The sequence below is a fragment of the Homo sapiens genome, chromosome 1 (genome assembly GCF_000001405.40).
Source record: "Homo sapiens chromosome 1, GRCh38.p14 Primary Assembly".
Classification (NCBI taxonomy): domain Eukaryota; kingdom Metazoa; phylum Chordata; class Mammalia; order Primates; family Hominidae; genus Homo; species Homo sapiens.
The window spans coordinates 75,639,509-75,652,813 of NC_000001.11; the positions used below are offsets into that span (position 1 = coordinate 75,639,509).

The window sequence follows — 13,305 nt, forward strand, 5'->3', positions numbered from 1 at the left end:
TCTTTGACTGTTATTCCGATAAGCCTCTGAGCCCTTAGAAGCATGCAGCCTAAGAAAGTTTTTCATCCAGACCCACCGTGTTCTGTCTTGCCTTTGCTCACTTCCCCAGTGCATGCCATTATACAGGGATCAAACTCATGGGCTTTTACATGCTAAACCTGGCTCTTAGCCATGTGTGTTTTTGTTCACAGTTGCAGTTGAATTAATGTTGGGAAATTGTTTTCTATGGTCTCTGACAAGTTACAGGTAACTGGGAATCTGCTTGGCCCTTTATCTTTGTTTAGTTGTTTGTCTGACTGTCATAGAAATTCTGATATCTCCTGATATCTCTTAACCAGATGATGAGATAAGGGGGTAGTCAGATTTGGCTGGCCTCAGCCTTGGGGTTGAGGAATTGCCCTTGTCACATCTGCTTGATTTGTTAACTTTTCCAACCATTGAAAGAAACTTCATGTTGTTTGTCTTATGATCTATAATTGCTTTGGTCAGTTATTTTTAGGTCGTTGTACTGAAAGGGGGAAAAGGCCTTTTACTTTCCTTAGAAAATAAAGATATGTAAGTTACTTGTTACTGTGTGGCAAACCACCCCAAAACACAGTGCCTTGAAACAGCAACAGTTTCGCCAAATTTTTGTTGAGTTTCTTCTGCTGATCTTGCCAAGCCTAACTCATGTGTTTGTAGTCATCCCTGTATTCAGCTGGGGCTGGATGATATCATACAACTTCTCTTACATGTCTACAGTCTCAGCTTGGATGGTTGGACCAGCTAAGCCAGCTGGGTCTCTCTCTATGAGGTCTTTCATCCTGGCTTCTTCACATGGTGGCAGAAGTGCTCCAAGAGAGCAAGCCCCAGTGCACACATGCTTATCAAGCCTTTGCTTGCTGTATATCTGCTGATATCTTGTTGGCTGGAGCAAGTCAATGGTCAAGCCCAGAGTAAATGTGACAGGGACTACACAAGCATATGGAGACAGAGAAGTGTGATTCATTGGGAAACCATCACAGAAGGAAGCTTGTCTTTATAATAGTCTGTTTATAATGGTAGTTCTTTCTGTACCTGTGAGTGATTCTACCTCTCATTCTCTCTCTCTCTCTGGGGGAAATTTTGAATATTAATTGATCATAACAATCTATCATTTGTGCATGCTATAGAAATATCCAGTTCAAACAGACCTTCATAGGAAGAAGATGCATGCAAATATTAAAACCAGTTTTTCATGGATCATGAAGTAGAGTTGTGCCTTCTGAAAGAGCTTTGCTTGGTTTGTATTACAATTGTATGCAGGCTCGAATGTCCTTAAAATGGGAATAATTGCTTCTGGCTTGTCTGGGGCTTCATGGCCTTCTGAGGAAACTAAAGGATTCAGAGTACATGAATTTTTTATTCTTTCCTCTTGGAAAATATTAATAAATAAAAAAGTCCCACGGAAATAGTCACAAATGAGCCAAGTGAAGATGTGAGGAAGAACTTCATGTGAACTATGACAAAATATTATAAAATCTTACAGTAGAACCCATAAGTTGATCATGTCTGAACAAGTCTTCCCCAAAAAGGACATAATAAAATACAAAGAAAGGCAACTTTAGACTCTCCCAGAGTTCTTTCCTTGCCCAGAGATATGACAAGATACTTCTGCTGAGTATGAAACATTTTCTAAACAAATGGCATATTTGTGTCTATTACTTTTTTATTTTTAAATATTTTATTATATTTGAATAAAATTTGTCTCCATCATAATCTTACATGTTTAAAGCATTTAAGAACACTTTTGTTAAGAAAGAGTCCATAGGCTTCAGACTGCCAAAGATGTTGGTGGTGCAAAACATGAGGAATCTCTTAACATTAGTATCGTCTCCGGGCATAAACTCTTCATGTGTATATGAGCTTGATTTTTGTACATTGCTTTGTGGAGAATAAGCACTACTTCTACTGCCAATCTTTCTAAAGAGTCTTTGACTTCCACTGCCAGCAGAAGTTGGGTAATAAATGTAAACATTGTGATCTTCTGCACTGACTGGCTTTTCTACAAATGGCTTTTGAAAAACTTCCTCATTTACTTCTACATGATCTTCCCCTTCAATCAGATTACATTCTTTGGGATTATTTGGGTCACGGTTCAAAATTGCATAACAAGGAAGTAAAATAACTTCAGCTTGAAGAATACTATATACCTCTCTCCAATCTTGTATGAGATACTGCATATTCAAGTCATTGATTACAAATGGATTCCTGAGTTTTGCATAGGCAACCACTTTGTCCAGTGGAAATCCTTTAGAGTGCAAAGAAAAAAGACAATCACATAAAGGCCAGTTTTCCACTGGTTCCCTCAAAATAACCTCCTCTTCAAATACCACTACTGTGATATATTTAAATAAGGAGACCCATTCAAGAATTTCCTTCATTGGTTTGGATTTGGATTTCTTTGCCATGGAACATATTCCAACCACAATCTGCCTTTCTGGTGGAGAATCATCTTCCTCCTCATCATCTTCATCTGCATGGTGGAAGAAATGTTGATAATTTCCAGGATTTATTTCTGTGTCTTCTGGTCCAATGAAGAATCTGGGGGCTTCACTAATTTTTTATTTTATTTGATGTAGATATAATTGAAGTGATATATATTAAAACTGCCTGTAAATAAATAGCATCAGAAGAAAGCATTCTCCTTATGTTAGCTGACACACAGGTCTGTGACAGCTTGTTTCTGCTTATACAATCACTTGATATTATGATGACTTTTGGCAAATGCTCTTTTGTTCTTAGATACCATTGCTTCATTGTTGATATCAAAGTTGTTGTTGCAATTCAAAATACAAAGACAGTGAGGCTACTGCTTTCTTGAGTTGATACAGCAATCTTTTTACCTGCCACGAATATGGTCATCACGTGAGCAGCTGTGAGATGGTCAAGCCCATTCAGGTCTAGGTTTCCCCCTTTCATTCTGGAGGCAGGGCTGAAGTGTTCGTCAAGATTTGTGTCTATGTCTGAAAAAAAATGTAATTTAATTATAAAGTCTCATGGTTAAACGAATTCCTATTCTGATTGACTTATAGAGACGAATAAGAAATTCAATAATCTTCAGGAAGAAGAGAGAAAAATTTATATCCTAATGTTTTAAGTGTGCTGACCATTTATAAAAGCTTGAGAGGCTTGCTGAAGCCATAACTCAATAAAACAAGAAGGAGAAGTATGAGGAGGAGGAGGAGGAGCTTACTATAAATTAAATTAATGGCCTTGGTTGCAAAGTCTCAAGAGGCAGAAAAATATAAGTAGTTATCAGTTTGGAAAACAGTGGGGGTAGGGGAGAATTCTAAGAGAACAGTACTTTTAAACAAAAATTGGAAAGTTTTAATATTTGGTAAATACAGAAAAAATTGTAAACAAATAAGTTTAGGTTATATTTCTATCAAGGCGAATCACTGGACAAATTAAATTGGTTTGGTAATTTGGCTTTAAAAATAGCTACATGTCTTCCCCTGATTTCATCACAGTGTGAAAAATGTTGGCATATTATTTTCTCATGAGAAACTTAATTAATTCTGATTTGCTAGATTTCCTATACTGATTTTTACTTCCATTAACTGTTAAAAATTATAAAATTATCATTCAACCATCTTTGGAAAGATTTGCTCTTGTGAGCTTCAGATAATACCATAAATCATATAGATCTAGTAACTTTACTTATACTACCTATATCAAATTTTAAATATCATATTTGTCTGATGAACTGTTTTAAGATCAAAAAGGATTGTGTTTCTCTTTAATGTCAACCTCAAACAATTTCCAAAATCTCTGGCTGACTTCAAGACCCCAGACTATTGTTAAACTAATTAATTTCATTAAAGTAGTCTTTGGTTATCTGGATATTTTCTAAGTAGAACTAAATTCATAAATATAGAATATAAAAACAAGCAAATATCGTTTAATTATATGTATATATCTTATTCATTTACATTCTAGATTGTCCATTAGTTAACATGATAGAAAAAAGATGTGTAAATACCTTTAGGTCATTGGTTTGGCTGTGTCCCCACTGAAATCTCATCTTGAATTATAGCTCCCATAATCACCATGTGTCATAGGAGGGGCCCAGTGAGAGGTAATTGAATCATGGGGGCAGGTTTTTCCCATGCTGTTCTCAGGATAGTAAATAAGTCTCACAAGATCCCATTGTTTTATAAAAAGGCAGTTCCCCTGCATGTGCTCCCTGGCCTGCGGCCAAGTAAGACATGGTTTTGCTTTTCCTTAGCCTTCCATCATGATTGTGAGGCCTCCTCAGCCATGTGGGACTGTGAGTCCATTAAACCTCTTTTCTTTATAAATTACCCAGTCTTAGATATGTCTTTATTAGCAGCATAAGAACAGACTGAAACAGTAATGTGAGTATACATGGTCATTTTTTCTACTTCATAAAATATAGAAAAGATATAGAAGCGTGTTCACAGAACATTAACAATCTTCACTGGAGTTCATTCAGGGCTAAAACACTTGTCTATGATAGACAGTTCTCAGTTATCTACATCCTAATTGTTCTGTGACTGTGCCCATTCACTAGTTAGTTGCTTTTGTTAAAAGATGTAAATAAAATAATGATATATTCATTACAAAGCAATAAATATGCAAGATAATGGACATGTTTTATCCATTTGTCTATCAAGGGAACTGGTAAAATTTTACTAAGATAGTAAAAAAAATTTAGCATATGCATTGTTTTATGTATTAATAAGGCAAGTGTATTTTGAAGCTACAGTCAAGAGTTTTAAATGTGTCATTTAACCATATGTGCATTTATGTATATTTAAAAATATACATACAAAGGTGTAATAAATTAGTAAACAAAAGATATAAATAATAAACAAGGGATCATTCAGAGAAACAATTGGCCTATAAGTATAGTTTCAGTGCCTTTGTCATACTATTGAATGACTTTTTAACAAAAGTTCACCTCTAAAAAAGCTAATGTTTCTAACAATTATTCTAACTTGCTTTTACTATTTTTACTATTATAGTGGAAAAAAGATTTATTTCTTCACCCATCACAGGGTTCATGGCTGATACACCTGTAACAAAATACAAATTAACAACAAAAAAAAGCCTAACAAATTTATTCAATATAAGTCTTTATATATATATATTTTTTTTTAATTATACTTTAAGTTCTAGAGTACATGTGCACAACGTGCAGGTTTGTTACATATGTATACATGTGCCATGTTGGTGTGCTGCACCTATTAACTCATCATTTACATTAGGTATATCTCCTAATGCTATCCCTCCCACCTCCCCCCACCCCACAACAGGCCCCAGTGTGTGATGTTCCCCTTCCTGTGTCCAAGTGTTATTGTTCAATTCCCACCTATGAGTGAGAACATGCGGTGTTTGGTTTTTTGTCCTTGCTGAGAATGATGGTTTCCAGCTTCATCCATGTCCCTCCAAAGGACATGAACTCATCCTTTTTAATGGCTGCATAGTATTCTATGGTGTATATATGCCACATTTTCTTAATCCAGTGTATCATTGTTGGACATTTGGGTTGGTTCCAAGTCTTTGCTATTGTGAATAGTGCCACAATAAACATATGTGTGCATGTGTCTTTATAGCATCATGATTTATAATCCTTTGGGTATATACCCAGTAATAGGATGGCTGGGTCAAATGGTATTTCTAGTTCTAGATCCCTGAGGAATCGCCACACTGTCTTCCACAATGGTTGAACTAGTTTACAGTCCCACCAACAGTGTAAAAGTGTTCCTGTTTCTCCACATCCTCTCCAGCACCTGTTGTTTCATGATTTTTTAATGATCGCCATTCTAACTGGTGTAAGGTGGTATCTCATTGTGGTTTTGATTTGCATTTCTCTGATGGCCAGTGATGATGAGCATTTTTTCATGTGTCTTTTGGCTGCATAAATGTCTTCTTTTGAGAAGTGTCTGTTCATATCCTTCGCCCACTTGTTGATGGGGTTGTTTGTTTTTTTCTTGTAAATTTGTTTGAGTTCATTGTAGATTCTGGATATTAGCCGTTTGTCAGATGAGTAGATTGCAAAAATTTTCTCCCATTCTGTAGGTTGCCTGTTCAGTCTGATGGTAGTTTCTTTTGCTGTGCAGAAGCTCTTTAGTTTAATTGGATCCCATTTGTCAATTTTGGCTTTTGTTGCCATTGCTGTTGGTGTTTTAGACATGAAGTCCTTGCCCATGCCTATGTCCTGAATGGATGGTATTGCCTAGGTTTTCTTCTAGTGTTTTTATGGTTTTAGGTTCTAACAATTAAGTCTTTAATCCATCTTGAATTCATTTTTGTATAAGGTGTAAGGAAGGAACCAGTTTCAGCTTTCTGCATATGGCTAGCCAGTATTCCCAACACCATTTGTTAAATAGGGAACCCTTTCCCCATTTCTTGTTTTGGTCAGGTTTCTCAAAGATCAGATAGTTGTAGATGTGTGTTATTATTTCTGAGGACTCCGTTCTGTTCCATTGGTCCATATATCTGTTCTGGTACCAGTACCATGCTGTTTTGGTTACTGTAGCTTTGTAGTATAGTTTGAAGTCAGGTAGCATGATGCCTCCAGCTTTGTTCTTTTGGCTTAGGATTGACTTGGCAATATGGGCTCTTTTTTGGTTCCATATGAACTTTAAAGTAGTTTTTTCCAATTCTGTGAAGAAAGTCGTTGGTAGCTTGATGGGGATGGCATTGAATCTATAAATTACCTTGGGCAGTATGGCCATTTTCACGAAATTGATTCTTCCTATCCATGAGCATGGAATGTTCTTCCATTTGTTTGTATCCTCTTTTATTTCATTGAGCAGTGGTTTGTAGTTCTCCTTGAAGAGGTCCTTCACATCCTTTGTAAGTTGTATTCCTAGGTATTTTATTCTCTTTGAAGCAATTGTGAATGGGAGTTCACTCATGATTTCAATAAGTCTTAACGTGACATGAGAACCTTCAGAAATGAAGGCCCAAAGAAATAGGGAAGCCTGTGTATTTCTATGGACAGTTGATATGGCCTGGCTCTGTGTCCCCACCCAAATCTCATATTGAATTGCAACCCAAATTGTAATCCCCACATGTTGCAGGAGGGACATCATGGGAGGTAATTAGAACAAGGGGGTGGTCCCTGCATGCTCTTCTCATGATAGTGAGAGAGTTCTCACGAGATCTGATGGTTTTATAAGGGGCTTTTTCCCCTTTTGCTTGGCACTTCTCCTTCCTTGCCACCATGTGAAGAAGAAGTAAAGGCCATTCTTTCTATGCTTTAGCAAAGAGACTGGCTGCATTTTGCCCATGCCCTAGAGATCTGTGGAACTTTGAACTTGAGAGAGATAATTTAGGGTAGCTGGCAGAAGAAATTTCTAAGTGGCAAAGTGTTCAAGAGGTGACAGAGCATAAAAGCTCGGAAAATTTGCAGGCTGACAATGCAAAAGAAAAGAAAAATCCATTTTCTGATGAGAAATTCAAGCCAGATGCAGACATTTGCATAAGTAATGAGGAGCCCAATGTTAATCCCCCAGATAATGGGGAAAATGTCTATAGGGCATGTCAGAGGTCTTCACAGTAATCCCTCCCATCACAGGCCTGGAGGCCTACGAAGAAAAATGGTTTCTTGGGCCAGGCCCAAGGCTTTGCTGCTTTGTGCAGGCTTGGGACTTGGTGCCCTGCATCTCAGCCATGGCTAAAAGGGGCCAACATATAGCCCAGGCCATTGCTTCAGAACGTTCAAGCCCCAAGCCTTGGCCACTTGCAATGTGGTGTTGGGCCTGCAGGTACAAAGAAGTCAAGAATTGAGGTTTGGGAACCTCCACCTAAATTTCAGAGGATGTATGGAAATGCCTGGATGTCCAGGCAGAAGTTTGCTGCAGGGCAGAGCCCTCATGGAAAATCTCTGCCACAGCACTGCAGAAGGGAAATGTGGGGTCAGAGCCCCAATATAGAGTCCCCACTGGGGCACTGACTACTGGAGCTGTGAGAAGAAGGCCACCACCCTCCAGACCCCAAAATGGTAGATCCACTGACAGCTTGCACCGTGCACCTGGAAAAGCCACAGATACTTAATACCAGCCCATGAAAACAGCCAAGAAGGGGGCTGTACCATGCAAAGCCACAGAGGCAGAGCTGCTCAAGGCCATGGGAGCCCACCTCTTGCATCAGCATGACCTGTATTTGAGACATGGAGTCAAAGGAGATCATTTTGGAGCTTTAAGATTTGACTGTCCCACTGGATTGCAGACTTGTGTGAGGCCTATAGCCCCTTTGCTTTGGCCAATTTCTCCCTTTTGGAATGGGAGCATTTACCCAATGCCCATACTCCCATTGTACCTTGGAAGTAACTAACTCGCTTTTGATTTTACAGGCTCCTAAGTGGAAGAGACTTGCCTTGTCTCAGATGATACTTTGGACTTGGACTTTTGGGTTAATGCTAAAATGAGTTAAGTCTTTGGGTAACTTTTTGGAAGGCATAATTTTGTTTTGAAACGTGAGAAAGACAAGATTTGGGATGAGCCAGGAGTGGAATGATATGGTCTGGCTCTGTTTCCCCACCCAAATCTCATCTTGAATTGTAATCCAAATTATAATCCCCATTTGTTGGGGAAGGGATCACATGGGAAGCAATTAGATCATGGGAACAATTCCATTCTGTTCTTTAAATAGTGAATGAGTTATGAGATCTGATAGTTTTTTAAGGGGCTTTTTCCCACTTTGCTTGGCACTTCTCTTTTCTGTTACCATGTGAAGAAGGACATGTTTGTTTCCCCTTCCATGATGTTTAAAAGTTTCCTAAGGCCTCCACAGCCATGCAGAACTGTGAGTCAATTAAATCTTTTTCCTTTATAAATTACCCAGTTTTGGACAGTTCTTAATAGCAGCATGAGAATGAACTAATACAACAGTCATGCAGTATGATTAAAATACAAAGAATATAATCTAATGATAATAAACTGGAAGTAACTTAGCAAGGCTGTTTACTGAGACCCTTCTCAGTGTTTCTGTATAATGTTCCTTCCCTTCAGGTATAGGGCAGGACACTTGGCATATGATAGTCCTCAGGGGAGGAAGAAGGGAAGGTCAGAGAGTGACCTTCCTAGATTGTATGGCCTGCTTTAGGAAAGAAGGGAGAGGTGAGAGTGGCCTTCATGCTTCTGATGTTTTTTCCAAATGCCAAGGTGCCCTATTTTGGGGTAGTGTCTCCCAATCCCTGTCACTCTAAACCAGGGGTTTTAGGAAATCTGAAGATACAGTTCAGGGAATCCTGAACTTTGATGGGAAAAAAAAGGATTTTTTTGACATCCTGACTAAAACTTAACATTATGAGCATGGGCAAACAAATAAATAAATACCACTGTAATATTAGTAGTGCCTATGATTTTGTCTCAAATGGGAATTATGGATATTTTATAATATATTACAGCTGTTGCAGAGGTTGAAATATATTTTAGATTCATGTTATTTTGAAATTACAATAATTTTTAGATCACAAGCTATATCAAATGTGATTGCAGTCTTTTTGTCAATAGATGCTCTTGTGATGTAGCTGGGAAACTATTGGGTAACTAACTCTGTGCCTAGTAGTTGTTCAGCAGCAAAATGGTAATGTTGCATGTCTTTACAATGATGACCCAGAAATCCCTATCTATAATTGACTGTTGATTAACGACACAAAGGGAGAAGCATCATTTTCATTCTCCGTTAGTATTTTGCAAATCTGGGCAGTTCAAATGAGAAATCTTGTCTTAATCCCTAAGGCAACATGGCCTTTTGAAACACAAATAGGTGTACTGGCTACTTGAATAGACCAGACAAGTTTAAATACATTTAACAGTTGAGGTCACTCCTGAAGTGTTATTTCTATTTATTACTTAAAATAAATATAGATAATGGATTGGACAGTGATACAAGTCATGTATGGTGTTGAAGTTCTGTGAATAGCTAGAAGAAAGGTGTTAAAAGTGTTGGTCTGCCTTCCATTCACTTCCTTCAAGAAATGGAAAGGGAATGGGGATCCTTGGGAAAAATTTAAGAACCAGGAGACCTGATCTAATCTCTTTGTCAACTGTATTTCTAGGTCTATTAAATAGACTAATAATATTCACTAGAAGAAAGATAATTTATCTCTGAAAAATCTTTAGCAGAATGGTCATGGCCAAGGTCTTCAGTAAATAGAATCAGGATCTATGTCTTCTTGAAGAATGTCTCATAAGCTATGTAACTCTCTAAGATATAAAATATCTTAGATATAAAATAGGATGCTTCATGGTTTAAACACTATGCCTGAGAAATCCCACAAAACTCACTTAGGAATCTCACCTATTCTGGAGCAGAGGTGTATGCCTGTACTGAAAAGCAAGGACCTAGTGACCTGCTCTCAATGCCTCAGAATCTCTCTGCTTCTTCTGAACCTCTGGATTGCCTGTAGCCTTGAAAGTATTTAATAAGTCTTGATACTGGGTAATATCTCTTACTTGTTTAAGCCTGATTTATAATAACAATCCACTCTTGTGTGTTAGCTCAGCAGCAGAGATTCTTTCTTTTATATTGCCTTGTGTATTCTCTCTCTCTCTCTCATTATTATTTTTATACTTTAGGGAGTATGAGTACAGCTTTGTTACATGGATATAATGCATAGTGGTGAAGTCTGGGCTATTAGTTTTACCATCACCCATTAGCGTACATTGTACCCATAGGTAATTTCTCCTCCCTCAGCCCTCTTCCCAGCCTCCCAGTTTCTCTCTTTTTCTAAACATCATCTGTATTATTAAGCAAAAACATGCACATGCAGCGTGTTGTACAAATGGTGTTCATGAGTCATTATTCTTAATACTACAAATTTTATAAGTAACTTTGTGCAAAAGTAAATAACATCAGAACTGAAAACCTTTATTTTGGGAAGGCACAAAATGCCACAAGATGACACATAAAACAATTGCCAAATTCCAGAAGGATATTTTAATATAATTAGTTTTCTTTGAAATTCTATGCATTTATCTAAGCTTTAAAACATATTTTTGTTAGAAATGGTGTAGACTTCATCAATCTGCCACAGGGTCCATGATAAAAAATGTTTAGAATTTCTGCTCTGAACCAAGTCTAATTATTTCTTGCCTTTAGGCATATATGCCCTATATATAAGTCTTATTAGAATGACAGCTCCTCAGACAAATCTTCAGGCTGGAGTGCAGTGACACAATCACAGTTCACTGTAGCCTTGATCTGGGCTCAAGCGATTCTCCCACCTCAGCCTCCTAAGTAACTGGGACCATAGGCATGTGCCACCACACCCAGCTAATTTTTTTGTTTTGTTGAGACTGATCTGAAACTCCTGGGCTCAAGCAGTCCTCTCACTTCAGCCTTCTGAAGTGTTGAGATTATGGGTGTGAGGCACTTCACCCAGCCTAGATATTGCTTTTACCGAATTCAGGCCACAAATTCAAAATAATAAAACTGCTCAGATGTCCTTTATACCCAGACTGTCTTTGATACTTCCCAGATGACCACTGATAAACCCAAATTTGTTCCATCACCCTATAAAAAAGAATGTTGAAATAAATCAATGTTTGATATTTGCCATAATTTAATTGGCTTAACTGCTCTAAGTAAATAAATTGAATGACCTAGAACCTTTTCCTTGGGAGCCAAATGTCAAGAAGTCATTTACCATTCTTAAACATATAAGCCCTGACTTGGGTATTCCTAACTATGCTAAATTGTGTACCTAAAAGCATGGTTGTAGTTTAGGGGTACTCCTTCAAAAACGAGGAACTCATAACAAGCACATTGCTTATCTTAGTATTTCTCTTGACCCTGTAGCTAAGAATTATCTGCCTTGTTTATACCCTACAGCAGAGGCAGCTAATTTAGTTGAAGTCTCTACAGACATTGTTCTAGGTCTACTTCTCACCCACGAGTCCATTGTGTAGTAGAAGACTTTTTACTCCAAAACAATACTCGCACTCTGGGAGGCCAAGGCAGGTGGATCATGAGGTCAGAAGATCGAGACCATCCTGGCTAACACGGTGAAACCTCCTCTCTACTAAAAAATACAAAAAATTAGCTGGGCGTGGTGGTGGGTGTCTGTAGTCCCAGCTACTCGGGAGGCTGAGGCAGGAGAATGGCGTGAACCCGGGAGGTGGAGCTTGCAGTGAGTCAAGATCGCGCCATTGCACTCCAGCCTGGGCGACAGAGCGAGACTCTGTCTCAAAAAAAAAAAAAAAAAAAAAAATCCAATACTCAACTCTTCTTGGCCAGCCACATTACTGATTATAAAATTATTTGATTATCTGCTTCCCTCCTTGTTACAGTAGATAGGCAGACCTGAGCAGGGCAGGAGAGGCCCCACACACACACACGCACACGTGGAACGTCAGGCGACCATCAGGTTGTGATCGGGCAGTTGTTAACTATCTCTCTAAAATAATAATTGGTCACAGCCAGCTTCAGAGAAAGGCAGACTCCCAATAGATAGAAAACCCTGAAACAAGTGATCAGCTTCCCAGTGAGATCTCAGGAGTTGGGCAAGGGGGCTCAAGCATGCTTATTAAGAGGCAAAATGGTGGAGTTTAACTGGTAGATAACCTTCCTCTGGGAACATTCAACTGGTAAGAAAAAAATGCCTCAAGTGAGCACGTGCACAATTTCAATAAACACACTGTACATGCAGCCCCTCCCAAGTGCTGGCAGGCCACTGCACTTGTAGACAGCTCACCCCAAGGGAAGAATCAGGGAATAAGGAATGGAAGATCCTGGATGTACACCAACATATAAAACCCTAAGTCAAATGTCAAACTGCACTTGAGTCTCTCAAGTTGCCTACTTGGCCCTCTTCCAAGTGTACTTTACATAAACTTTCGCTTCTGCTCTAAAACTTGCCTCAGTCTCTCACTCTGCCTTATGCTCCCAGTTAAATTCTTTCTTCTGAGAAGGCAAGAATTGAGGTTGCTGCAGACTTGTGTGGATTTGCTGCTGCTAACATCATAAATATCAAATTCTGTTCCAATCTAAATCCAGCTACAAGCCAGGCACAGTGGTTCACAACTGTGAAAATCCCAACACTTTGGGAGGCCAAGGTGGGCAGATTGCTTGAGACCAGGAGTTCAAGATCAGCCTGGGCAGCATAGCAAGACCCTATCACTACAAGATTTTACAAATTAGCTAAGCATGTTGGTATACACCTATAATCGTAGCTACTCAGGAGGCTGAGGCAGAAGGATGGCTTGTGCCCAGGAGTATGAGGTTGCAGTGAGCTATGATCACACCACTACACTTCAGCCTGGGAGACACAGTGAGACCCTGTCTCTCAAAAAAGAACAAAAACAA

General features: G+C 38.7%; 1 protein-coding gene and 1 pseudogene across 2 annotated transcripts in view, besides 1 other annotated feature; both read right to left on the reverse strand.

The window, feature by feature from the left end:
- Nucleotides 1–13,305, reverse strand: part of SLC44A5 (solute carrier family 44 member 5) — a 521,887-nt gene that overhangs the window by 437,380 nt on the left and 71,202 nt on the right. For both annotated transcript variants that reach the window (XM_017000610.2, XM_017000609.2), the window contains exon 3: nt 2,865–2,984. The gene's annotated coding sequence lies outside the window, so the exon portion shown is untranslated. The remainder of the gene's footprint in view (nt 1–2,864; nt 2,985–13,305) is intronic.
- Nucleotides 744–903: an enhancer, noted in NCBI's record as "active region_1202". NCBI's record gives its function as "activates an Ori minimal core promoter by ATAC-STARR-seq in GM12878 lymphoblastoid cells {active_cell/tissue: GM12878}" and the evidence as "EXISTENCE:reporter gene assay evidence [ECO:0000049][PMID:35858748]".
- On the reverse strand, nt 1,836–2,779 carry LOC100421536 (diphosphoinositol pentakisphosphate kinase 2 pseudogene; annotated as a pseudogene).